The sequence below is a fragment of the Homo sapiens genome, chromosome 14 (genome assembly GCF_000001405.40).
Source record: "Homo sapiens chromosome 14, GRCh38.p14 Primary Assembly".
NCBI lineage: Eukaryota > Metazoa > Chordata > Mammalia > Primates > Hominidae > Homo > Homo sapiens.
Window position 1 is genome coordinate 36,117,788 of NC_000014.9, and position 24,903 is coordinate 36,142,690.

Genomic DNA, 24,903 nt, shown 5'->3' on the forward strand with positions numbered 1-24,903 from the left:
ACACCAATTGTATAAGCTCCCTAAAATCTGGCTCCCTAAAATCTGGATTTGCATCTAGAGATCAGGCAGGATCTCCACTAATCCACGTAGCACATGGCATGACACATGAACCAGTTGAATTTCAGGCGCTCCCTCCCTGGGCTGGGTGACCTCACACAAAGTCCATATTATCAATTCTACACAGCAGCCCTGTCACCTGCTATATATGATGTTTTGAGTGGGTTTGATCTCAGTAAAAAGTAAAACTACCTTCTTCTAGACACCACAGTTCTAATATGAATCTTCAAAAGACTTAATGACTGTAGTTTGGGCATTGAGGAAATTAAGCACTCTGTGATTTTATAAATTTAAAAAAATTTATTGAGTACCTGCTCTGTTCAAGGTCCTGTAAGAACCAAAAAGATGAGTGAGACCAAATTTCTCCCTCAAGTCATAGTTTAGCAGGGCTGCTAAGACATATTTATAACTTAGTACTATATCATAAACAGTGACACATCCCAGAGAGGCTCCGAGGAAGCATGATGGGTAGAGTGATACTATCAAGTATTGTCTAAACTGGCACACTCTGAGAGTGAAAGAAGATGCTTTTAATAATTATGCTAAGACCACAGACATAAAGTGGGGCAGCCCCGGGCACACCAGGACCAAGCAGTCATCTGGTTATGGAGAATAGTAGTTGAGGAAAAATCACAGTGGAAAGAGGAATCCATGTTAGATATAGAAACTGAGGCCAGAGAACCAGCGGGTTACAGACATGTGAAGTAACAGATCATAGACTTCTGATCACGACTTGTCTCAAGGTTGACAAGACCATGGTGCTCCCGATGCCTCAGAGAAATGTTCATTGTACGTTATGACAGTGAAAAAACTCAGACAGACACTAATAAGATTACATATCTCTGAGTAGTCTCTATTCTGAAGTCACACATCAAAAAATATTTTTCAGCAGTGGTCAAAAGCATTTTCTTAAGAGAGAATGTTTTCTGATCAAATTTGGTTTTAAAATTGTAACATACTGTCTGTCCTACCTTTATCAGGTTGTCTGCAACCTGATTAGTTGCTTAAAATATTATTATTTCCCTGTGTTCAACCCACAGTCTCAAAGGACAGGGCTGAGAGCAACCAATCAAAACCCAGGGTTTGGAAATGGCCAAGTATCATGAGGAATAATCCATGGACTATTTTAGATACGAAATTCTGACAGCTTGTTCTTGTGACAAAGATGTTAACAAGGAAAGAAAATGGCACTAATTTAATCTATTCTTATAGTTCATTCTAAAATGAGACTAGCATGACACCAAGTTATAATAATAAATACTATAGTAATTTCACAATTCTTCCTACATGCTGTTCACAGTCCTTTCACATGCAAATATGCCATCCATTGCCTCATGACAGCAATTTTAAGTGCATTAAAGAATTCTGAATCTTCTTCTTTTTTTTTATACTTTAAGTTCTAGGGTACATGTGCACAATGTGCAGGTTTGTTACATATGTATACATGTGCCGTGTTGGTGTGCTACACCCAGTAACTTGTCATTTACATTAGGTATATCTCCTAATGCTATCCCTCCCCCCTCCCCCCACCCCACGACAGGCCCCGGTGTGTGATGTTCCCCTTCCTGTGTCCAAGTGTTCTCATTGCTCAGTTCCCACCTAGGAGTGAGAACATGTGGTGTTTGGTTTTCTGTCCTTACGATAGTTTGCTCAGAATGATGGTTTCCCGCTTCATCCATGTCCCTACAAAGGACGTGAACTCATCCTCTTTTATGGCTGCATAGTATTCCATGGTGTATATGTGCCACATTTTCTTAATCTAATCTATCATTGATGGACATTTGGGTTGGTTCCAAGTCTTTGCTATTGTGAATAGTGCCACAGTAAACATACGTGTGCATGTGTCTTTATAGCAGCATGATTTATAATCTTTTGGGTATATACCCAGGAATGGGATGGCTGGGTCTAATGGTATTTCTAGTTCTAGATCCTTGAGGAATCGCCACACTGTCTTCCAAAATGGTTGAACTAGTTTATAGTCCCACCAACAGTGTAAAAGTGTTCCTATTTCTCCACATCCTCTCCAGCACCTGTTGTTTCCTGACTTTTTAATGATCGCCATTCTAACTGGTGTGAGATGGTATCTCATTGTGGTTTTGATTTGCATTTCTCTAATGGCCAGTGATGATGAGCATTTTTTCATGTGTCTGTTGGCTGCATAAATGTCTTCTTTTGAGAAGTGTCTGTTTATATCCTTTGCCCACTTTTTGATGGGGTTGTTTTTTTCTTGCAGATTTGTTTGAGTTCATTGTAGATTCTGGATATTAGCCCTTTGTCAGATGAGTAGATTGCAAAAATTTTCTCCCATTCTGTAGGTTGCCTGTTCACTCTGATGGTAGTTTCTTTTGCTGTGCAGAAGCTCTTTAGTTTAATTAGATCCCATTTGTCAATTTTGGCTTTTGTTGCCATTGCTTTTGGTGTTTTAGACATGAAGTCCTTGCCCATGCCTATGTCCTGAATGGTATTGCCTAGGTTTTCTTCTAGGGTTTTTATGGTTTTAGGTCTAACATTTAAGTCTTTAATCCATCTTGAATTAATTTTTGTATAAGGTGTAAGGAAGGGATCCAGTTTCAGCTTTCTACATATGGCTAGCCTGTTTTCCCAGCACCATTTATTAAATAGGGAATCCTTTCCCCATTTCTTGTTTTTGTCAGGTTTGTCAAAGATCAGATGGATGTAGATGTGTGGTATTATTTCTGAGGGCTCTGTTTTGTTCCATTGGTCTATATCTCTGTTTTGGTACCAGTACCATGCTGTTTTGGTTACTGTAGCCTTGTAGTATAATTTGAAGTCAGGTAGCGTGATGTCTCCAGCTTTGTTCTTTTGGCTGAGGATTGACTTGACAATGTGGGCTCTTTTTTGGTTCCATATGAACTTTAAAGTAGTTTTTTTGAGTTCCGTGAAGAAAGTCATTGGTAGCTTGATGGGGATGGCATTGAATCTATAAATATTGATTCTTCCTATCCACGAGCATGGAATGTTCTTCCATTTGTTTGTGTCCTCTTTTATTTCCTTGAGCAGTGGTTTGTAGTTCTCCTTGAAGAGGTCCTTCACATCCCTTGTAAATTGGATTCCTAGATATTTTATTCTCTTTGAAGCAATTGTGAATGGGAGTTCACTCATGATTTGGCTCTCTGTTTGTCTGTTATTGGTGTATAAGAATGCTTGTGATTTTTGCACATTGATTTTGTATCCTGAGACTTTACTGAAGTTGCTTATCAGCTTAAGAAGATTTTGGGCTGAGACAGTGGGGTTTTCTAAATATACAATCATGTCATCTGCAAACAGGGACAATTTGACTTCCTCTTTTCCTAATCGAATACCCTTTATTTCTTTCTCCTTCTTGATTGCCCTGGCCAGAACTTCCAACACTATGTTGAATAGGAGTGGTGAGAGAGGGCATCCCTGTCTTGTGCCAGTTTTCAAAGGGAATGCTTCCAATTTTTGCCCATTCAGTATGATATTAGCTGTGGGTTTGTCATAAATAGCTCGTATTATTTTGAGATACGTCCCATCAATACCTAATTTATTGAGAGTGTTTAGCATGAAGGGCTGTTGAATTTTGTCAAAGGCCTTTTCTGCATCTATTGAGATAATCATGTGGTTTTTGTCTTTGGTTCTGTTTATATGCTGGATTACATTTATTGATTTGTGTATGTTGAACCAGCCTTGCATGTGAGGGATGAAGCCAACTTGATCATGGTGGAAAAGCTTTTTGATGTGCTGCTAGATTTGGTTTGCCAGTGTTTTATTGAAGATTTTTGCACTGATGTTCATCAGGGATATTGGTCTAAAATTCTCTTTTTTTGTTGTGTCTCTGCCAGGCTTTGGTATCAGGATGATGCTGACCTCATAAAATGAGTTAGGGAGGATTCCCTCTTTTTCTATTCATTGGAATAGTTTCAGAAGGAATGGTAGTAGCTCCTCCTTGTACCTCTGGTAGAATTCGGCTGTGAATCCATCTGGTCCTGGACTTTTTCTGGTTGGTAGGCTATTAATTATTGCCTCAATTTCAGAGCCTGTTATTGGTCTATTCAGGGATTCAAGTTCTTCCTGGTTTAGTCTTGGGAGGGTGTATGTGTCCAGGAATTTATCCATTTCTTCTAGATTTTCTAGTTTATTTGTGTGTAGAGGTGTTTATAGTATTCTCTGATGGTAGTTTGTATTTCTGTGGGACTGGTGGTGGTATCCCCTTTATCATTTTTTGTTGCATCTATTTGATTCTTCTCTCTTTTCTTCTTTATTAATCTTGCTAGTGGTCTATCAATTTTGTTGATCTTTTCAAGAAACCAGCTCCTGGATTCATTGATTTTTTTTTTTTTTTGTCTCTTTGTCTCTTTTTTGCCTTCTTTGTCTCTTTTGATCTTTGTTGGTTTAAAGTCTGTTTTATCAGAGACTGGGATTGGAACTCCTGCTTTTTTTTTGTTTTACATTTGCTTGGTAGATCTTCCTCCATCCCTTTTTTTGAGCCTATGTGTGTCTCTGCATGTGAGATGGGTCTCCTGAATACAGCACACTGATGGGTCTTGACTCTTTATCCAATTTGCCAGTCTGTGTCTTTTAATTGGAGCATTGAGCCCATTTACATTTAAGGTTAATATTGTTATGTTTGAATTTGATCCTGTCATTATGATGTTAGCTGGTTATTTTGCTCATTAGTTGGTGCAGTTTCTTCCTAGCCTCAATGGTCTTCACAATTTGGCATGTTTTTGCAGTGGCTGGTACCGGTTGTTCCTTTCCATGTTTAGTGCTTCCTTCAGGACCTCTGTAGGGCAGTCCTGGTGGTGACAAAATCTCTCAGCATTTGCTTGTCTGTAAAGGATTTTATTTCTCCTTCACTTATGAAGCTTAGTTTGGCTGGATATGAAATTCTGGGTTGAAAATTCTTTTCTTTAAGAATGTTGAATATTGGCCCCCACTCTCTTCTGGCTTGTAGAGTTTCTGCTGAGAGATCCGCTGTTAGTCTGATGAGCTTCCCTTTGTGGGTAACCCAATCTTTCTCTCTGGCTGCCCTTAACATTTTTTCCTTCATTTCAACTTCAATGAATCTGACAATTATGTGTCTTGGAGTTGCTCTTCTTGAGGAGTACTTTGTGGCGTTCTCTGTATTTCCTGAATTTGAATGTTGGCCTGCCTTGCTAGGTTGGGGAAGTTCTCCTGGATAATATCCTGCAGTGTTTTCCAACTTGGTTCCATTCTCCCCCTCACTTTCAGGTACACCAATGAGGTGTCAATTTGGTCTTTTCACATAGTCCCATATTTCTTGGAGGCTTTGTTCATTTCTTTTTACTCTTTTTTCTCTAAACTTCTCATCTCGCTTCATTTCATTCATTTGATCTTCAATCACTGATACCGTTTCTTACAGTTGATCGAATCGGTTACTGAAGCTTGCACATTCATCACGTAGTTCTCGTGCCATGGTTTTCAGCTCCGTCAGGTCATTTAAGGACTCCTCTACACTGGTTATTCTGGTTAGCCATTCGTCTAATCTTTTCTCAAGGTTTTTAGCTTCTTTGTGATGGGTTCCAACTTCCTCCTGTAGCTTGGAGTAGTTTGATCATCTGAAGCCTTCTTCTCTCAACTTGTCAAAGTCATTCTCCATCCAGCTTTGTTCCATTGCTGGCGAGGAGCTGCATTCCTTTGGAGGGGGAGAGGCACTCTGATTTTTAGAATTTTCAGCTTTTCTGTTCTGTTTTTTCTCCATCTTTGTGGTTTTGTCTACCTTTGGTCTTTGATGATGGTGACATACAGATGGGGTTTTGGTCTGGATGTCCTTTTTGTTTGTTAGTTTTCCTTCTAACAGTCAGGACCCTCAGCTGCAGGTCTGTTGGAGTTTGCTGGAGGTCCACTCCAGATCCTGTTTTCCTGGGTATCAGCAGTGGAGGCTGCAGAACAGGAAATATTGCTGAACAGCAAATGTTGCTGCCTGATCCTTCCTCTGGAAGCTTGATCTCAGAGGGGTACCCAGCCGTGTGCGGTGTCAGTCTGCCCCTACTGGGGGGTGTCTCCCATTTAGGCTACTTGGGGGTCAGGGACCCACTTGAGGAGGCAGTCTCTCCGTTCTCAGATCTTAAATTCCGCACTGAGAGAACCACTACTGTCTTCAATGCTGTCAGAAAGGGACATTTAAATCTGCAGAGGTTTCTGCTGCCTTTTGTTTGGCTATGCCCTGCCCCCAGAGGTGGAGTCTACAGAATCAGGCAGGCCTCCTTGAGCTGAGGTGGGCTCCACCCAGTTTGAGCTTCCCTGCTGCTTTGTTTACCTACTCAAGCCTCAGCAATGGTGGGTGCCCCTCTCCCAGACTCGCTGCCACCTTGCAGTTTGATCTCAGACTGCTGTGCTAGCAATGAGCGAGGCTCCGTGGGTGTAGGACCCTCCAGGCCATGCATGGGATATAATCTCCTGGTGTGCCGTTTGCTAAGACCATTGGAAAAGTGCAGTATTAGGGTGGGAGTGACCCGATTTTCCAGGTGCTGTCTGTCACGGCTTCCCTTGGCTAGGAAAGGGAATTCCCTGACCCCTTGAGCTTCTGGTTTGGCTCTTGCTCGGTGGGCTGCACCCACTGTCCTGCACCCACTGTCCAACACACCCCAGTGAGATGAACCCGGTACCTCAGTTGGAAATGCAGAAATCACCCTTCTTCTGTGTCGCTCACGCTGGGAGCTGTAGACTGGAGCTGTTCCTATTTGGCCATCTTGGAACTGCCCTCAGAGTTCTGAATCTTCTCATACTTAGCTCCTAATTACATTGCAGGAACATACACAGAATAGTACCGTATACTGGCACTTGGTTGATAGCATTTCTCTCTACAGTGGGTTCCTCTCTTCTCTTGACAGAGCGTCTGTGTTCAGGAACATAGGTTGCACCAGTAAGATAATCACTAGGAGTAGTGAAAGAGGGAAGTAAAATTTGCCAGAAATGAAGTCATTGTGAAATACCCAATACACCTTTGTTTTGCAATAGAAATCTGCATTTATATAAAGTTTCTTTTTAAATGGAGAATTTTAAAAGATATGTTTAAAGATTTTTAAGATAGTTTTTGAGGACATGCTTGAAAAAGACCACATTATAACTATGAAGAAAAGATATTCAAGATCAATGCTCTTGGGTATCCCTTCCTTGCCTTTGGGGCGGTCAACCGGCCACAGGTGCATTGGGTACAAAGCACAGTACTGGTATTGGGTGAAATTCCAAAGAAAGTAGAAGTGTTATGATTTTTTTTAGGACCTTAAAACCCACACCAATTGAGATTTTCTCTTATGTGTTAGTGGTTGCTAGTGGCTGACTCACAGAATGCTTAGATCTAGTGGGCTGGATGAATATGGTGTTTTTTGGTGGCTTCAAAGGGAATGAAAAGTCTGGAGAAATCATCTTTCCCAGATTTAATATAGTTTATGACCCATGGTACTATCTAATGAAAGCTTGTTTAACCTGCAGCCTGTGGGCCACATGCTTCCCAGGCAGCTTTGAATGTGGCTCAACACAAATCTGTAAACTTCCTTAAAACATTAGGATTTTTTTTTAAGCTCATCAGCTATCATTAGTATTAGTATGTTTTATGTGTGGCCCAAGACAATTCTTCTTCAAATGTGACCCAGGGAAGCCAAAAGATTGGACACCCCTGGTGTAAAGGTAGCCCAAAGTAAGTATATTGGAAAATCCTTCACTTCAATGAAATTATTGGAAGTGGTGGTCAATTTCATTACCTGCTTTTGTTTTTAAATACTTTCTCACGTTTGGTGGTTTAATGGCAAGTGGTTGTGAAGGACTGAATGAAAATGTCTACCTTCTGGGAAATGACTTTGGATTGGGTCCCTCCCACCCCTTCTATTCAAATCTCTATGAATCCAAAATTGTTAATGAAGGAACATTCCAGGTGGCAATGCTTCTCACCCATTTCTTTAGCATCTTTCCCACCAGGAGCATGAAGACCAGGCTCTGACCCTGTCAGTAACTTCTCTGTGTGCTTGTTTAATTAATTAAAGACTGTAGGTATATCACAGCCTCTGAATTTGGCTTAATAGCCTTAATTATGCAGGAATACACTGTGTAAATTAGTACACACCAGACATGACATAATTACCAGGGCAGGGTGGACAGCATTTTGTTGAAGTGCTGCTTTAAATGACTCATTTCAATGCTGAAAATGTATTTTTTTTGTATTTGAGAGCTAATGTAGTGAATTGTTCTTTCCGAAATCTGGCTCCAATTGCTTTAAAAAGCCAGGTAGGAGGAAAATAATAAATTCTGTGTCTTCTGGGATAAAAACCACATTTTGTATTATACTGCTGGGCAGCACAATCACTGTAATTCTGGAAGGTTGCTATTACTGTATGAGCAAACTTTTTTTTTTTGTATTACTACTGTTTATTTTAATGCAGGGGCATGTTCTCTAGTAGACACATAATGAAAATGGCCTTGTATTAAAATTGTTTACCTGCTGTTTGCTGAGAGGAGTTGTAAAATTGGAAATAGAAAAGACTTCCTATGCCACCTAGCCCATCCCAGGAAGGGCAAAGAAAAAGATTAGATCCTAATGCAGCTTTTCTTGGGGAGTCCAAAATAGGCCACTGTCTTCACATGCCTCACGGAGTAATTTCTCGGAGGCAGGATGAGATTGTTTGTGTCAACTCAGGAGGAAAAACAGTATTTCTACAAATGTTGAAAAAGAGGGGTAGCAATTTATTGACAAATTTATTGACTGAGGTCCCATGTTTGAGGACTTTAAGATCAAAAGAAATTTGTAACATTCCCTAAATTGATTGTGCTGAATTATGCAATCAAATCAAGTAGGGTTTTCCTACTAATGTATCCAGTTATGTGGGTCAGTACATAAACATTGAGAGGAAAATGATATTCTCTCTGGAGATAAAATGTAATATAACAATGGCTTGTTGAATTTTACTTGAATTTTACTACTTCTCCTTTCCTTCCTAAATTTTCCAGAGGCAATGAGAAGAAGCAAGAAATGGCAAAAATGTACATAAAATCAGGAAGAAGCTGATGAGACATAAGAGGCCTAGATAATTTACATTAGAAATGAACCCCTTATCCCTCAAAGGTTGAAGTGACATTGTAGTAATAAAGCTGAATTCGCCCTTGGCAAAATTGTGGAGCAGTCCTTGTTGTCGCTTCTCCTGGTTTTGGAGACATTTCCATCTTTTTCTCCACCCTTTCTCTCTCCTGTTAGTCCCCACCTACCCCCTGCTTTTCCACCCTGGGACCCAAGTACCCCGGAACCCCACCTAGTCAGCCAGAATATTCACCAAACTAAATTGGAAAGAAACTGATGTTGGCTATTTGCTCATTTACTTTATAATTTCAGCTTCTCATTTTGGCACACCCCTTCTGTCAGACAGACCTCCATTGTGATTAGAGAAGCTCTTACTTAGCAAGTCTTTGTCACTTGAGAATTTCAAGGGCCTTCATACTGTGACTGTGGTCGGCAGCTGCTAATATGGCCCCTAGTGATCCCTACTTCCTGGTGTTTGTCCCTGTGTGTCATTCCTTCCGCTTGAGTGTGGCTGGAACTAGTGACTTGCTTCTAACAAATAGAATATGACAAATATGATGAGATACCACTTCTGAGATTAGGTTGCAAAAAGACCATGGCTTCTTTTTTAGGCTCTCTCTTACTCTCTCACTGGCTTGCTCTGTCTGAGGGAGACTGGCTGTCATTTTGAGTTGTCCTATGGAAGGGAACAGAAGGAAGCCTTTGACCAACAGCCAGTGAAGAGCCAAAGCATGCTAATGACATGACTAAGCTTAGAAGCTGATCCTCCTCTGTTAAACCTTCAGATGAGAACACAGACCTAAATGACAGCTTCCCTGGAATTTCATGAGAGACCTTGAGCCAGAGACATCCAGCTAAGCTATGCCCAGGTTCCTGACCCACAGAAAATGTGAGATAATAAATTTTCACTGTTTTCAGCTTCTAAATGTGGGAATGATAAACAGTGAACTACCTCATTGATAACATAAATTTAAGTTAAAACGATAATTAAACTGAACTCAGACTAATGAGTCCTGGTGGTTGGAACACAGGGCTAATGAGGCTAAGTTTATAATTTTTGACCCACTTATGAAGCCAAATAGTTGCTTAGCTTTTGTCCCGATCACAGGTTACACCACGTTAGGCTACATTATAAAGTTTACCTTTCATTCCAAGGGTATTTCCACATTTAGTTGACTGTGGAACAGTTTTTCAAGCAGAATTTCATGAAACTAGTGCTCTAAGGAACACAGTTGGGGAAACATTGGCAAGCTATTGTCTTTTGTTGGACATACAAATTGTTTGCAGTTTTTAGCCTTTATAAATAATTCTCATCTTGGAGAACATCTTGAATCATTTCCTAGAATACATCCCTAAAAGTAAAATGGCTGGATAAAATAGCGTAAATTTTTTATATAAATTCTCAAATTACTCTTCAGAAACATTACACCAATTTTTTATTTCAATCTTAGTGTGTTTTCCTCAAACCCTAACATTGGAAATTATTTTAAAATATTTGTCAATTTGATGGGTGAAAACTATATCATGTATTTTATAATATATTTTATGTTTTTGACTACAAATGTAATTAAACATTACACTTTTCTTTGGCAAATTGCTTATTTTTGTTCATCTTTGCTCATCTTTCTATTCATGTGCTTGGCTTTCTTCGTTATTGTGTGGAAGTTTTTAATATGATTTCATGTGAATATAGTGCTTTGAAGCCAAATAGCAGGGTAAGAGTTTGGAGAACCAACAAAGGACAGAGGTTGGGGGCACATTATTTTAGACAGCATGGTTGGTAAGACTACTCAGAAGAGGTGACATTTGTTTGTCGGAAATACCTTTTATTTGCCTCCGTGCAGGAGATTGTGCATTTGCCCCTCTAGGTTCACTCTCTGCCCTTCCCACAGAGCTCCTCTCTGGGAGGCTGGCCCATAGACACTGCGACAAACACTTTCTCTGGCTTCTCATTGGGCTTAGCAAATGAGGAGCCCAGCAGGAGATCAGAGGGTGGAAGGAGAGTGAGACTGGGATATTTCTTTCTCTGCTCCACTCTCCTCAGTGGTCACCTTGGCTGATTGTAGTCCTTGACTGAAGGTCATTTCTTCTCCCAAGGTAGCTCTTTCTAAATGACCCTCTCATTCTTGGTTCCAGCAGCCACGCTATCCCTTCATCCCCCAGCTCTAAAAATAGTAGCAGTTCCATCTCTTGTAGTTTACCCAACCCCAAGCACGCCTTTATCACTAGTCCTTTGCAAATATACTATCTTTAAATTATCCTAATTTGAGTGTACCATCTGTTTTCCTTTTGGATCCTGTACTGGAAACTGTTGGCACCCCACCCAGATCCCTTCTACCAGGCCAGTGTACCTGTCTTCCTGCTACTGTGACTGTTGGCTGCTTATGGCTTACAGTTGCACTCTTCTCCAGAGAATTGCCTTTGGCCCCTGGGAGCCACCTTGCTCAGAAATGCTTGGGAAGTTAGGCCCTCCTACCCTGGGGGCAGCCTGCAGTCAATGCTGACTGATTGGAGGGACAGGGATACAAAAGCCTAAGCCCTTAGCCAAGGTAACTTGAGAAAAGAACAAAATGTGATGAATCATTTTACCAGATTCTCGGCAGTAATACGAAACCTCATTTAAAACTGTGAGGTACTTTCCCAGCTAGACAAATTGACTGACAAAGAAGAGACAGAAGACAGACCATTGTATACTTGGGAGTTTTTTATATGAGAAAGGGGATAAAATCATCAATAAATGATGCTGAGGAACTTGGCCATTATATAGTACAAGATAAAATGAGATTGCTATATCACATCATTCACAAAAATACATTCCAGATAGCTTAAAGACCTAAATGTGATCAGCAAAGCTCTAAAACTTTCAACCAAAAAATGGGAGAATATTTTTATGCCTTTAGTAAAATATATTTTTAATTGACCAATAGAAATTGCATATATTTATATACTTATTGTGTACAACATTGTTTTGAAATACGTATACATTGTGGAATGGCTCATTTGAGCTAATTAACACATACATTACATCATGTACTTATCATTTTTTGTGGTAAAAACAATCTAGTCAGTGATTTTCAAAATGTTATTAACTATACAACCATATTGTACAATAGCTCTCTTGAACTTACTCCTAAGATATAATTCTTAGAGAAAGCACGAAAGGAAAAATTAATACATTCTGATACACTGAAACATAAAACTTCTGTATAAAAGGGGACAGAGATGAAAATAAAAGTCATAGACTGAGAAAAGACACTTGCAACTCATATTACCAATGAAATATTAATACGCAGAATATATAAAATGCTCTTAGAAATCAATAATATCAGATATAAATATTGTTAAAATATATAATGGTAAACTGACAGAGGAAGATAGATGGCTGATATGGTTTGGCTTTGTGTCCCCACCCAAATCTCACCTTGAATTCTAATAATCCCCATGTGTCATGGGAGGGAGCCTGTGGGAGGTAATTGAATCATGGGGCGGGTTTTTCCCATGCTGTTCCCTTGATAGTGAATAAGTCTCATGAAATCTGATGATTTTATAAACAGCAGTTCCCCTCACATGCTCTCTCTTGTCTGCTGCCATGTAAGACATGTCTTTCTCCTCATTCACCTTCTGCCATGATTGTGAGACCTCCCCAGCCATGTGGAACTATGAGTCCATTAAATTTCTTTTTCTTTATAAATTACTCAGGCTCAGGTGTGTCTTTATTAGCAGTGTGAAAATGAACTAATACAATGGCCAATAAATATATGTAAAGATGTCCAACTTCTTTAGTACTTAGGAAATGTAAATTAAAACAAGGACAAAACATTTTATATTTACAAATTTATTAAGTTTGATAATATTCACTGTTGGTGATAATGCAAACAAAACAAGAACTCCAAGGCGTGGTTGCAGGGACGGAAAATAAGTATAAACACTTTGGAAAGCTATGTTGGAACTACCAAGTAAGGTTGACAATGCATATTCTCCATAGCCCAACAGTTCTTCTTCTGGGAGCTTCTCAGGGAGAAACTCTTGTTCAAGGAGACATATACAAAGATGTATATTTTTGAGTTGTTAATTGTTACAAGGCTAAGAAAATCTTATTGTCAAACAGCAGGGGGATGAAAAAATACACTGTTGTTTGTTGGTCCAGCAGAATGCCTAAAATGAAAATGAATGAATTGGATTTGAATGTATCAACATAGCAAGTCTCAGAGATATAATGTTGTGGCTAAAAAAAAAAAAAGTTGAATATAGAGTATCAAACATTTAGGAAGTTTATCCAAAGGAAAGAAATAAACATATATGAGTATGATAATACTTATTTCAGAAAAAGGGTTACTTCTGAGTAGACAGGAATGAGGAAGAGATGGAAGGTGGGACTGTAACTGTATTTGTAATGTGTTGTTTCTTTGAAAATAATGACAATCTAAAGGGAATGTAGCAAAATATTAGCACAGACAATCTCAGTGGTGAATATATTAATATCATGTGCCTTGAGTGTAAATATAACATAACTTTAAAAGACTACATATTAAGGCCATGATATATAAAAAATTTAAATGAACAATGAAAATAGTAAAGCTTATAAGTAATGCCTAAGTTATTTGTCTTAACATGGCTCTAAAACACCAGTTAAAGTCTTGATGGAGAAGATACTTGATGTGAGGAATTAATAAACAACACCTGGGTCTTTGAAAGACACCTAAGCCTTTTGCCTCAAGGTGGGACAACCACGTGGTGATAATCATACTCCAGAACTCCCTTGAGGTCAGGCTGGGGCTAGACTATAGCTGAAACCACATCTTGAGTTTCTTCCCCTGCCTTATCCTGTTCCCCTTACATCATTATAATTTACTCAGGAGAGAAGTCTGTCAGTTAATCACCTGTATAGAGATTCCTGTTTCAAGCTGTATTTCTAGAGACCCTGATCTAAGATAAAGTTTGATTGACACAGCCTTAATTCTTGAAACAACATTTTCACTTGGTATATAATTCTAGGTCATAACTGTCTAATCTTGAAGTTGTTATTCTATTTACTTCTAGCCTCACTGCTGCTTTTGAGAAGTCAGGCATCAGTCTAATTGATATTACTTTGTTGCTGGTTTGCCTTTTTACTGTCTACTTTAAAAATAGTTTTATCTTTGGTATTCTGCAGGTTCATTACAATATCTCTACATGTGTGTTTCTTTTTATTTACCCTTCTAGCATTTGTTTGGCTTCTGGAACCTGGGAATTTATGACTTTCATAATTTGGGAAAATCCTTAGCCATTTACCCTTCAAATATTGTCTATTTCTATTACCTTATTTCCAAACTTCAATTATATTTATTACTATAGCCCCCTATCAATCACTTTGTTATCTTAGGCTATAATCTGTGTAATTTCTTCAGAGTTATTTTCCAATTATTAACTTTCTGTTCAATCATTTCAAATCTGTTCAAAAATATTATTTACTATATTTTAAATTTCTAGACTTTTTAAAAAAACCTAATCATTTTTGTAGTGTCTTATTTGTATTTTTATTGATATATCATAATTGTACATGTTTTTTGGGATACATGTGATAATTTGACAGATGCGTACAATATGTAGTCAAATCAGAGTAATTGGGATATCCATCACCTCGAACATTTTTTTTTGTGTTGGGAACATTATAATTCTTCTTTTTTAGCTATTTTGAAATATATAATAAATTATTGTTAACTATAATTTCCATACTATACCATCAAATAATAGAACTTATTCCTTCTAACAATATTGTTGTACCCTTTAACCAACTCATCTTCATTCCCCTTCCCCACTTCCTTTCCCAGCCTCTTGTAATCATCATTCTGTTCTCTACCTCCATGAGATTCAGTTTTTTAGCTTCCACATGTAAGTGAGAACATGTGATGTTTGTCTTTCTGTGACTGGCTCATTTCACTAACATAATGACCTCCCATTCCATCCATGTTGCTGCAAATGACAGAATTTCATTCTTTTTTATGGCTGAATACTACTTCATTGTTATATATACCACATTAAAAAAATCTACTCATCTATTGGTGGACACTCAGGTTGATTCCATATTTTGGCTATTGCGAATAGTGCTACAATAACCATGGTAGTACAGATATCTCACTGACATACTGATTTCCTTTCTTTTGGATATATGCCCAGCAGTGGGATTGCTGGGTCATATGGCAGTTCTGTTTTTAGTTTTTTGAGGAAGCTCTGTATTGTTTTCCATAATGGCTGTATGTAGTAAATCATTTATTAAATGTAGTATTGACACTCTTATTTTAAGGGTATTTATTACATAACCATTATATTCTATATACAATAATTCTAATATCTACAGTATTTGAGAGTTTTACTCTTCTTTCAGTGGTTTCTGCTCACTCTTAGTATCTTATTTACTTTCGTATTTTATTTTTGTGAGCATATATATTTTTATACATTTTGCAGGGATTTTGTTGAAGCCTGGGATTTAGGGTAGGTTCCTTAATAGATGGTTTACATTTACTTCTGTTGGGAACATGGTGACACTCCCATTCCAGCATTAGTTTAAAGAAATTTCTCAGCTTCAAATTAATTGGATCATAGAGGTAGAGAAAATTCTGGCTCCAAACATATGTGAAGAACAGATTGTTATGTATTCTAGAAGAACATTTTTTTCTTCAATTTGGGGTCAAGTCTTAGACATGCATTGTTTTTCCTGTTTTACTTTGGGAGGAAAGATTTTCTTTCTAGCTCGGATGTTCCTTGTAGGTGTAGTGTTTTTTTCTTTAGGGGGATCTGTGTACCTGAAATAGGAGGAGGTCTCCAATCTAACTTTCTCTTTCAATGGGCTCTAGGTTTTGTTTAAAAATTGAGATCAGAGCATCCAATTCAACTTTCTATATGATGGAAACGTTCTGTATTTGTGTTGTCCAACATGGTATCCATCAGCCACTGTGATTATTGAACACTTGAAGTGTGGCTTATGTAATTGAGAAATTAAATTTATAATTTTTTAAAAAATTTAAATAGTCGCAGGTGGCAAGTGGCTACTGTATCGAACAGTGCAGCTCTGGACTATCAGCGATCAGCCATTGTCCCAGGACAGGCATCGTTTTCAGTATTCTCTTACCTTTTGAGATTAATGTTTTTGCTTTAACTTTTTGGTTTCTACGATTTTTTAAAAAACTTCTCAATTAAACAATTAAAGTATCTAAAAATGCATTTTTAAAGCAATTTTAGCTGTTCTCCACTGGGAAAGTTTTTTTTTCAAGGTATGTAGTTTGCTGTGTTGCTGGGAATAGAAGTTGTAGATGATATATAAGCAGATTCTTGAATGTGATGAGGAAGTGATTCATGCAAAAATGAGATATAGTGGAGAAAAAAACCGCAAGGTCCCTGGGGGAAGGAATATCTTTGAATATTTAAGAACTATCAATACTGCAAGTGTAACTAGTGTGGAGTAGCAAGGGGGAAAGAATAGTAGACGATAATGTCAGAGAGGCAGGCTAGAGATAGGTCTTTTTACAGTCTTATAGAGCATGGAAAGCATTTTGGATTTTTACTTCAACTATGGTGGGAAACCATTAGTAGTTTGAGTGGGGGTTAGTGGCGTGATGTGATTTATGTTTTCCAAAGATTACTAGGATAGTTCCATGGAATATAGGTAGCAAGATCAGTTGGGTTTTACAGTAGTTTAAGTGGGAGATGATCAACACTATATGGATTGTCTCTGTTCTTAAAACACACAAAGAGCACCACATACCATGGCACATTGATATCAATAGCATGCCTTTTACTACCAACATTGTTCATGCCACAATGCCCTCATCTGTACACCTGCTCCAAGGCAGGCCACTTGGAAGATGAATTCATGCAATGACGGATTTTAATGCCATAATTTTACTAATGCAAACTCTGCTTCCATTAATTATTTTCAACAAGTATATTTTAGTAAATTCCAAAGTCTTCTTGTTTAAGGTAATTTCTCATTCAGTTCCACAAATTACCTGGAATATATCATTGAATTAAATAGAATATCTGAGAGGAAAGGCTGTTTATGGGCAGGGCATCGTTTATTGAACATAAGTGCCATTATTCATCATTATGCTCATTACAGTACAAAGGATTTATCTGCTTTTGACATCTGGCCTTTTAAAGTAACCCAATTTTGGCCGCATGTGAAAGGTGAAGAAGAAGTACAGTCCATTTCTCTAATGACAGAGCTGTAGAAGCTAATGGCAGCATAAGCCATTCTAGACAACTAGGAACAACTTGAGTAGTACTTTTAATTACTTTTAGAGGAAAACCTGAAAACGTATCAAGAAAGAAAAATGGAAGTTTACTTTATAATGAAAAAGCTTTTACTTCTTGTTATTACTACCATGGATAGGGGAGAGAAAAAAGGAAGCATATCTTAATATGAATGGAATTTAGTTTGTATGTGTGTGTGCATGTGTGTGTTTTCATGGTTAATTTACCCTAAAGAGCCCCTGAGTAGTGGAAAACTTGTAGGAGTAAGAACACGAGGAATAAGAAGTTGAAGTCAAGTATGAGTTCCCATTCTGGCTGAATAATTTGTTGAGTGGCCTTAGGCAAGTCAGTTTTCCTCTTTGGCTTCATGTTCTAATATTCCACAGTTTTGCAGCCTCTTTTCCCTTAAAGAAGGTTGTCAATTACTACTGGAGAAGTGTCTCTCTTGTAAATAACTGCTTGACAGCTGTGATGTCTGCCTCTGCACCTGTGAACCACAGAGGCACTGACTTCAAAATTTTCTGTCTGCTGCTCATGCTGTATGTGTCATAAGCTTTAGTAATAACTTTGGATAATGAAGGTGGTGCTGATAATGAAATTGAAAATGCACAAACTTGTTATTTGCTGTATTTTAAATCTCTTTTATTAGGAAGTCTTTTAAAAAGTCTTAAGAGATATTGCTACTGTGAGCATAACCTACTTACAATACCCAATCAATGTCTTTTGCCCCAATTTTTATTAGTAGTTGTATTAGTCAGGGTTCTCTAGAGGGACAGATATATATATATATGTGTGTGTGTGTGTATATATATATGTGTGTGTGTGTGTGTATATGTGTGTGTGTATATATATATATTTATGTATTAAGTATTAACTCACATGATCATAAGGTCCCACAATAGGCTGTCTGCAAGCTGAGGAGCAAGGATAGTGAGTCCCAGTCCCAAAACTGAAAAACTTGGAGTCTGATGTTCAAGGGCAGGGAGCATCCAGCATGGGAGAAAGATGTAGGCTCAGAGGCTAGGCCAGTCTAATGTTTTCATGTTTTTCTGCCTACTTTATCTTCTAGCTGTGCTGGCAGCTGATTAGATGGTGCCCACCTAGATTACGGCTGGGTCTACCTTTCCCAGCCCACTGACTCAAATGTTAATCTCCTTTGGCAACACCCTCACAGACACACCCAGGAACAATACTTTGCATCCTTCAATCCAATCAAGTTGACACTCAGTATTAACCATCACAGTGGTAGACTCCCTGCAGAGCACTGTCTCTGTAAAGAAAGGACAGGATGAGGATTAACCATTAGACATTTAATTTTGGTGGTGTTTTAAATTTTCTATTTATACTTTAGAAGTAAGTTTGTAACATTGCTTATCTAGGATTAATAAGAGGTAAGAGTAAGAAGATATGATTATGAGGAGGCATGGGTAAGAGAGAGGGTAGCCAGTTTCAGGGTTCAGGTGGGGATGGTTGGAAGAAGAATAAGAGTAAGAATGGAAGTATGAGGAAGGGAGATAGGGCAGGATTTATTCTATTTACCCAGTAATTATGCTTATAATACAGGCCCCTTATCAACTCATTCATTTATTTATTCAACAAATACTTGTTAATTGATGTTATGCTAGGTGCCAGGGAATAAAATGCAAATAAGATATCATCAAATAGTGAAGAGAGTTCTTCATAGGCTTACAGAAGAGATACAAAACAAAATTATTTGGGAGTCTAGAGAGAAAAGAAAGTTCTTTATTATTCTTCAGTAGGTCAGGAAAGAGATATTGAATGGCTAGAAGTTTTTCATTTGACAACAAATACTTAATGAGCACCTATTATGTGGCAGGCTTTATTCTTGCTATTGAGAATATAGCATCAAACAACACAAAGTCCTTATTCTTGAGGAGCTTTCATTCTGGAAGGGGAAGACAAGAAAGTTACATGCAGTGTTTCTTTTTTCTTTGTAAGTGTTATAGAAAAAAAAGCAGAATAACAAGGTAGAAAATGGATGGTGCTATTTTATTAGGGTGGATAAGGATGGCTTCACAAAGAAGATAACATTTGAGCAGAAACACAAAGGGAGGAAGGAGGCCATGCAGATATCTAGGGTGTGAACGCTGCAGGTAGAGGCAACAACAAGCACAAAGGCCCTGAAATGGGAGCAGCTTGACATATTTTAGGTACAACAACGAGGCCAGTGTGGCTGGAACACAGAATGCAAGGGAAGAACAATAGAATATGAGATCGTAGAGATATCAAGGGGACCGTATTCTGGAGGGTCTTGCAGCTTATGTAAGAACTTTAGATTATACTCTGAATGAGATGGGCAATACTGGAAAGTTTTGAGTAGATGATGATTATGGTGCTGGGTATAATTAACAGATTATGTGTGCATTGGAGAAGGGGGCAAATAAGGAAGGAAGCTGGGAGGCTCTCACAACAATCCAGTTGCAGGGTGATGATGGCTCATATCTGAGTGGTAGGAATAGCATAATGAGAAATGGTTGGATTCTGTGTGTATTTTAAATGTGGAGCCCAGGAGATTTGCTATTGGATTGGATATATTCTGTGAGAAAAAGAGAGGAGTCAAGGATAACTCCAAGGTTTCTCACATGGAGATGGAGCAACTATAAGATAGATATGTGATCTTACATAACATGGAGCAACTAACATGGTGAAGGCTGCAAAAGGAGCAGGTATGGTGGGGGAAGTATGGGGAATTAATACTTATATCTTAATATGTGGAATTTTAGATGTTTATTGGTGAGACATGCAAGTGGAGATGATGAGTAGATTATTGGCCGTATGAACCTAGAGTTCAGAGGAAGAATCAGAAATGCATTTGAGAATTATCTACGTATTGATAGCAATAAAGTCCTGGGACTGGATGAGATTTCCTAAGGAGTGAGTGAAGTAGAGAAGAGGCTTAAGTGTGAACCCTGGATCACTCTGATATTTAACATCTGGGGTGGTGAGGAAGAAATGGTAAAGGAGAGAACAGGAAGAAGTGGCTGCTAAATTAGAAAAACCAAGGTAATTCAAATGGAGAAAAGGACAGTTTTTCTGATAAATGGTGCTAGACAAACTGAATATCCATGTGGGGGAAAAATGAATCTTAGCCCTTAACTCACTCTATATACAAAATTAACTCAAAATAGACCTAAGCATCAGATCTGAAATGAGATAAAGCTTCTAGAGGAAAACAGAAGAATATGTCCTTGGTATAGGCAAAGATTTCTTGGAACACAAAGTTGTAAAAGAAAATAAATTGGACTTCAAAATTTCAAAACTTCTACTCTTCAAATACACTGTTAAGAAAATGAAAAGGCAAACTAAAAACTGTCAAATTATTTGCTGTACATATAACATTTCTTTATGTATTTTGGATATAAAACCTTTGTCAGTTATAACTCAATAAGAGACAGACAACTCACTAAAAAATTTGGCAAAATTTTAGACAGTTCACAAAAGAAGATATGTGAATGACCAAGAAACATACGAAAAGATGTTCAACATCATTAATCATTAAGGATATGCAAATTAAACTACCACTACATACCCACTAGAATGGCTAAAATTTAAAAGATTGACATAACCAAGTATTGGTGAGAATATGGAATTCTTATACATTACTTATGGGAATGTAAAATTATATAACTACTTTGAAAAACAATTTGGCAGTTTAGTATAAACATCCCCTTTCTGTACAGTCTGGCAAATCCACTTGTAGATATTTACCCAAAAGAAATGCATATATGTGGCCGGGCGCGGGTGGCTCGCGGCTGTAATCCTAGCACTTTGGGAGGCCGAGGCAGGCGGATCACGAGGAGTTCAAAACCATCCTGGCTAACACGGTGAAACCCCGTCTCTACTAAAAATACAAAAAATTAGCTGGGCGTGGTGGCAGGTGCCTGTAGTCCCAGCTACTCAGGAGGCTGAGGCAGGAGAATGGCGTGAACCCAGGAGGCGGAGCTTGCACTGAGCCGAGATCGCGCCACCGCACTGCAGCCTGGGCGACAGAGCGAGACTCCATCTCAAAAATAAAAAAAAAAAAAAAAAAAAAGAAATGCATATATGTCCATACAAAGACTGCACATGGATGAACATAGAATCTTTATTAATAAGAGCCTTGAACTGAAAACAATTGAAGGTAATTGTGGAATATCCATGCAATGTAATACTGAGCAATTAAATAAGACCAAACTGCTGATATGTGAAAGAACACGGATAAGCTCCAAAAACATGTTGAAAGAACAAAGCCAGATGTAAAACAGCATATAGTGCACAACTGCATTTCTGGAAAATTGTAATACAGACTAAAATAATCTATAATAACAGAAAATAATAACTGGGCTCCAGTTTTAAAATACATACAGAATCCATGTGTGTCTCATTATACTGTTTTACCACCCAGATCTGAGCCACCATCACCCTGCAACTGGATGATTATGAGAGCCTCCCAGCTTCCTCCATTATTCGCTACCCCCCCAATACACACACACAACATGTGTATCTATGAATATAGATTCTACATGCAATTATGGTCCTTAGTTTAGAACATACACAAAAATCAATTTTATGTGGGTTAAAAATTAATAGGCTATATTTTAGAGCTAAAACTTAAAACTATAGAAAAACTGAATGGATTATGAAGTGTTCCTATATATCCTCCCTTCCCCACAGTTTCCCCTGGTTTCAGCGTCTTGCATTAGTGTGGTATATTTGTTATAATTAATAAACCAATATTGATAGATTATTATTAACTAAAGTCCATAGTTTACATTAGGGTTCTCTTTGTGCTGTATAGTTCTGTGGGTTTTGACAAATGCATAATATCAGGTATCCACCATTACAATACCATACAGAATAATTTCACTGTCCTAAAAGTCCCCTGTGCTTCACCTATCCATCCCTTCCATCACCCTCCAAGAATCCATGCAACCATGGACCTTTTTATTCCCTCTATTGTTTTACGTTTTCTAAGATGTCATGTAGTTGGAATGACAGAGTATGTAAACTTTTCAGACTGGAATCTTTCACTTTGCAATATGCATTTGTTTCCTCTGTATCTTTTAATGGCTTGGTAGCACATTTCTTTTTAGTGCTAAATAATGTTCCATTGTATGGATGTATCACAGTTTGAATTATTCATTTATCTATTGAGGGACATCTTAGTTGCTTTCCATTTGGGGCAATTATGAATAAAGCTGTTATCAACATTGTGTGCAGGTTTTTGTGTGGCCATAATACCAAAACACATTCTAATTCATCTGGGTTAAATACTTAAGAGCATATTGGTATTTGTATTAAGTCCGTGTTTACCTTCGTCAGAAACTGCCAGATTGTGTTCTAAAGCAGCTGTGCCATTTTGCACTTTCCATCCATAATAGATGCGAGGTCCTGTTGGTCCACATTCTTGCCAGCCTTTGATATTGTCAGGTTTTTTGTTTTAGTCGTTCTAATCCATGTGCAGTAGTACCTCAATTTTCAATTCCCTAATGACATGTGATGCTGAACATATTTTCATATGATCATTTGCCACATGTATATCTTCTTTGATGAAGTGTCTGTTCAGATAGTTCATCCATTTTTTAATTGGGTTATCTTTTTGTGGCTCGTCTTTTCATTCTCTTAAGAGTTTTTTAGAGCAGAAAATTTTAATTTTAATGAAGTCCAACTTGATTTCTTTTATGGATTGTACCTTTGATGTTCTAAAAACTCATTATCAAACCTTGGATCATTTAGATTTTCTTCCTGTGTTATCTTCTAGAAGTTAACATTTTGAATTTTAAATTTAGGTCTATGATTCATTTTGAGTTGATTTTCGTGAAAGGTGTAAGGTCTGTGTCTCGACTTTTTTGAGGGGGGAATACAAATGTCCAGTTTTTGTAGTACCATTTGTTGAAAAGACTATCTTTTCTCCACTGGATTGCCTCTACTCCTGTCAGAGGTCAGTTGACTGTATTTGTGTGAGTCTATTTCTGGACTCTTTATTTTGTTCATAAGTGTAAATCAATTTGTCTATTTTTTAAATTAATACCACATCATCTTGATAATTGTAGTTTTAAAATAAGTCTGAAATAAGGTAGTGTCAGTTTTCAGATTGTTTTTATTCTTTGATATTGTATTGGCTCTTCTGAGTGTTTTGTTTTTCCATATAAACTTTAGAATCAATTTGTTGATATTCACAAAACAGCTTGCTAGGAATTTGATTTGGATTGCATTGAATCTATAGATCAAGTTGGGGATAACTGACATCTTGACAATATTGATTTTTTTTAATGCCTGAACATGAAATATCTTTCCCTTTATTTAGATTTTCTTTGATATTTTTCAGTCTTACAGTTTTCCTCATATATATTTTGTCAGATATATAGATATATATATCTATAAACATCCCAGGTAGCTGGGATTACAGGCACATGCCACCACGCCCAGCTAATTTTTGTATTTTTAGTAGAGACGGGGTTTCACCATGTTGGCCAGGCTGGTCTCGAACTCCTAACATCAGGTGGTCTGCCTGCCTCAGGCTCCCAAAGTGCTGGGATTACAGGCGTGAGCCACTGTGCCTGGCCAGAGTTATATATTTTATCTATATATGTATATAGTTTATCTAAAAATATTTTTCTCATATATATGTATATATTTTATCTAAGCCAGATTAATTTATATTTATACATTTTATCAGATTTACACCTAGTTATTTTGGGTGCTTTTGGTGCTAATGTAAAAGATGCTTTGAATTTCAAATTCCAATTGTTTATTGATGGTATGTAGGAAAGTTATTGACTTTAATATATTAACATTGTGTCATGCAATCTTGCTATTTGTCGTAATTGCTTATTAATTCCAGGAATTTTTTTTCCACATAGACAATCATGTCATATGTGAACAAAGACAGTTTTATTTGTTTCTTCCCAACCTGTATGCCTTTTGTCTTCTTTTCTGGTCTTACTGCATTGGCTAGGATTTCAGTGTAATGTTGAATAGGTGTGGTGAGAGGGACATCCTGGTTTCATTCCTTATCTTAGGCAGAAAGCAACTAGTTTCCCACCATTAAGTATGATGTTAGCTGGAAGTTTTTGGTAGATATTCCTTATCAAGCTGAAAAAGTTTTCTTAAATTTTTAATTTGCTGAGAGTTCTGATCATGAATAAATGTTGGATTTTTCAAATGCTTTTGCTGCATTTATTGATATGATTTTTCTTCTTTAACCTGATTTTATGGATTATATTAATAAATTTTTGAACATTCAATCAGCCTTGCATACCTGCCGTATGGTTGTGATGGATTGATTGATTTCCTCGTATTTTGTTGGAGATTTTAACACCTGTATTCATGAGATACATTGGTACATGATTTTTCTTTCTTGCAATATCTTCATCTGGTTTTGGTATTAAGGTGATACTGGCCTATTAGAATAAATTAGTAAGTGTTCCCTCTGCTTCTGTTTTCTGGAAGAGATTGTGAAGAATTGTTATCATTTCTTTCTTAAATGTTTGGTAGAATTCACCAGTGAGACTATCTGGGCCTGGTGCTTTGTGTTTTGGAAGGTTATTAATTGCTCATTCAATTTCTTTTTTTTTTTTATTATTATACTTTAAGTTTTAGGG

The 24,903-nt window shown here is 37.6% G+C and overlaps 2 long non-coding RNA genes across 2 annotated transcripts in view; one reads left to right on the top strand and one right to left on the bottom strand.

Annotated features, from left to right (window-relative positions):
* The window catches only part of LINC00609 (long intergenic non-protein coding RNA 609), a 94,862-nt gene that overhangs the window by 47,361 nt on the left and 22,598 nt on the right, over window positions 1–24,903 (top strand). The window lies entirely within an intron of this gene.
* Window positions 17,103–24,903, bottom strand: part of PTCSC3 (papillary thyroid carcinoma susceptibility candidate 3) — a 41,833-nt gene continuing 34,032 nt past the window's right edge. Inside the window, exon 4 of the long non-coding RNA NR_049735.3 lies at window positions 17,103–18,569. This is a non-coding gene — a long non-coding RNA (papillary thyroid carcinoma susceptibility candidate 3). The remainder of the gene's footprint in view (window positions 18,570–24,903) is intronic.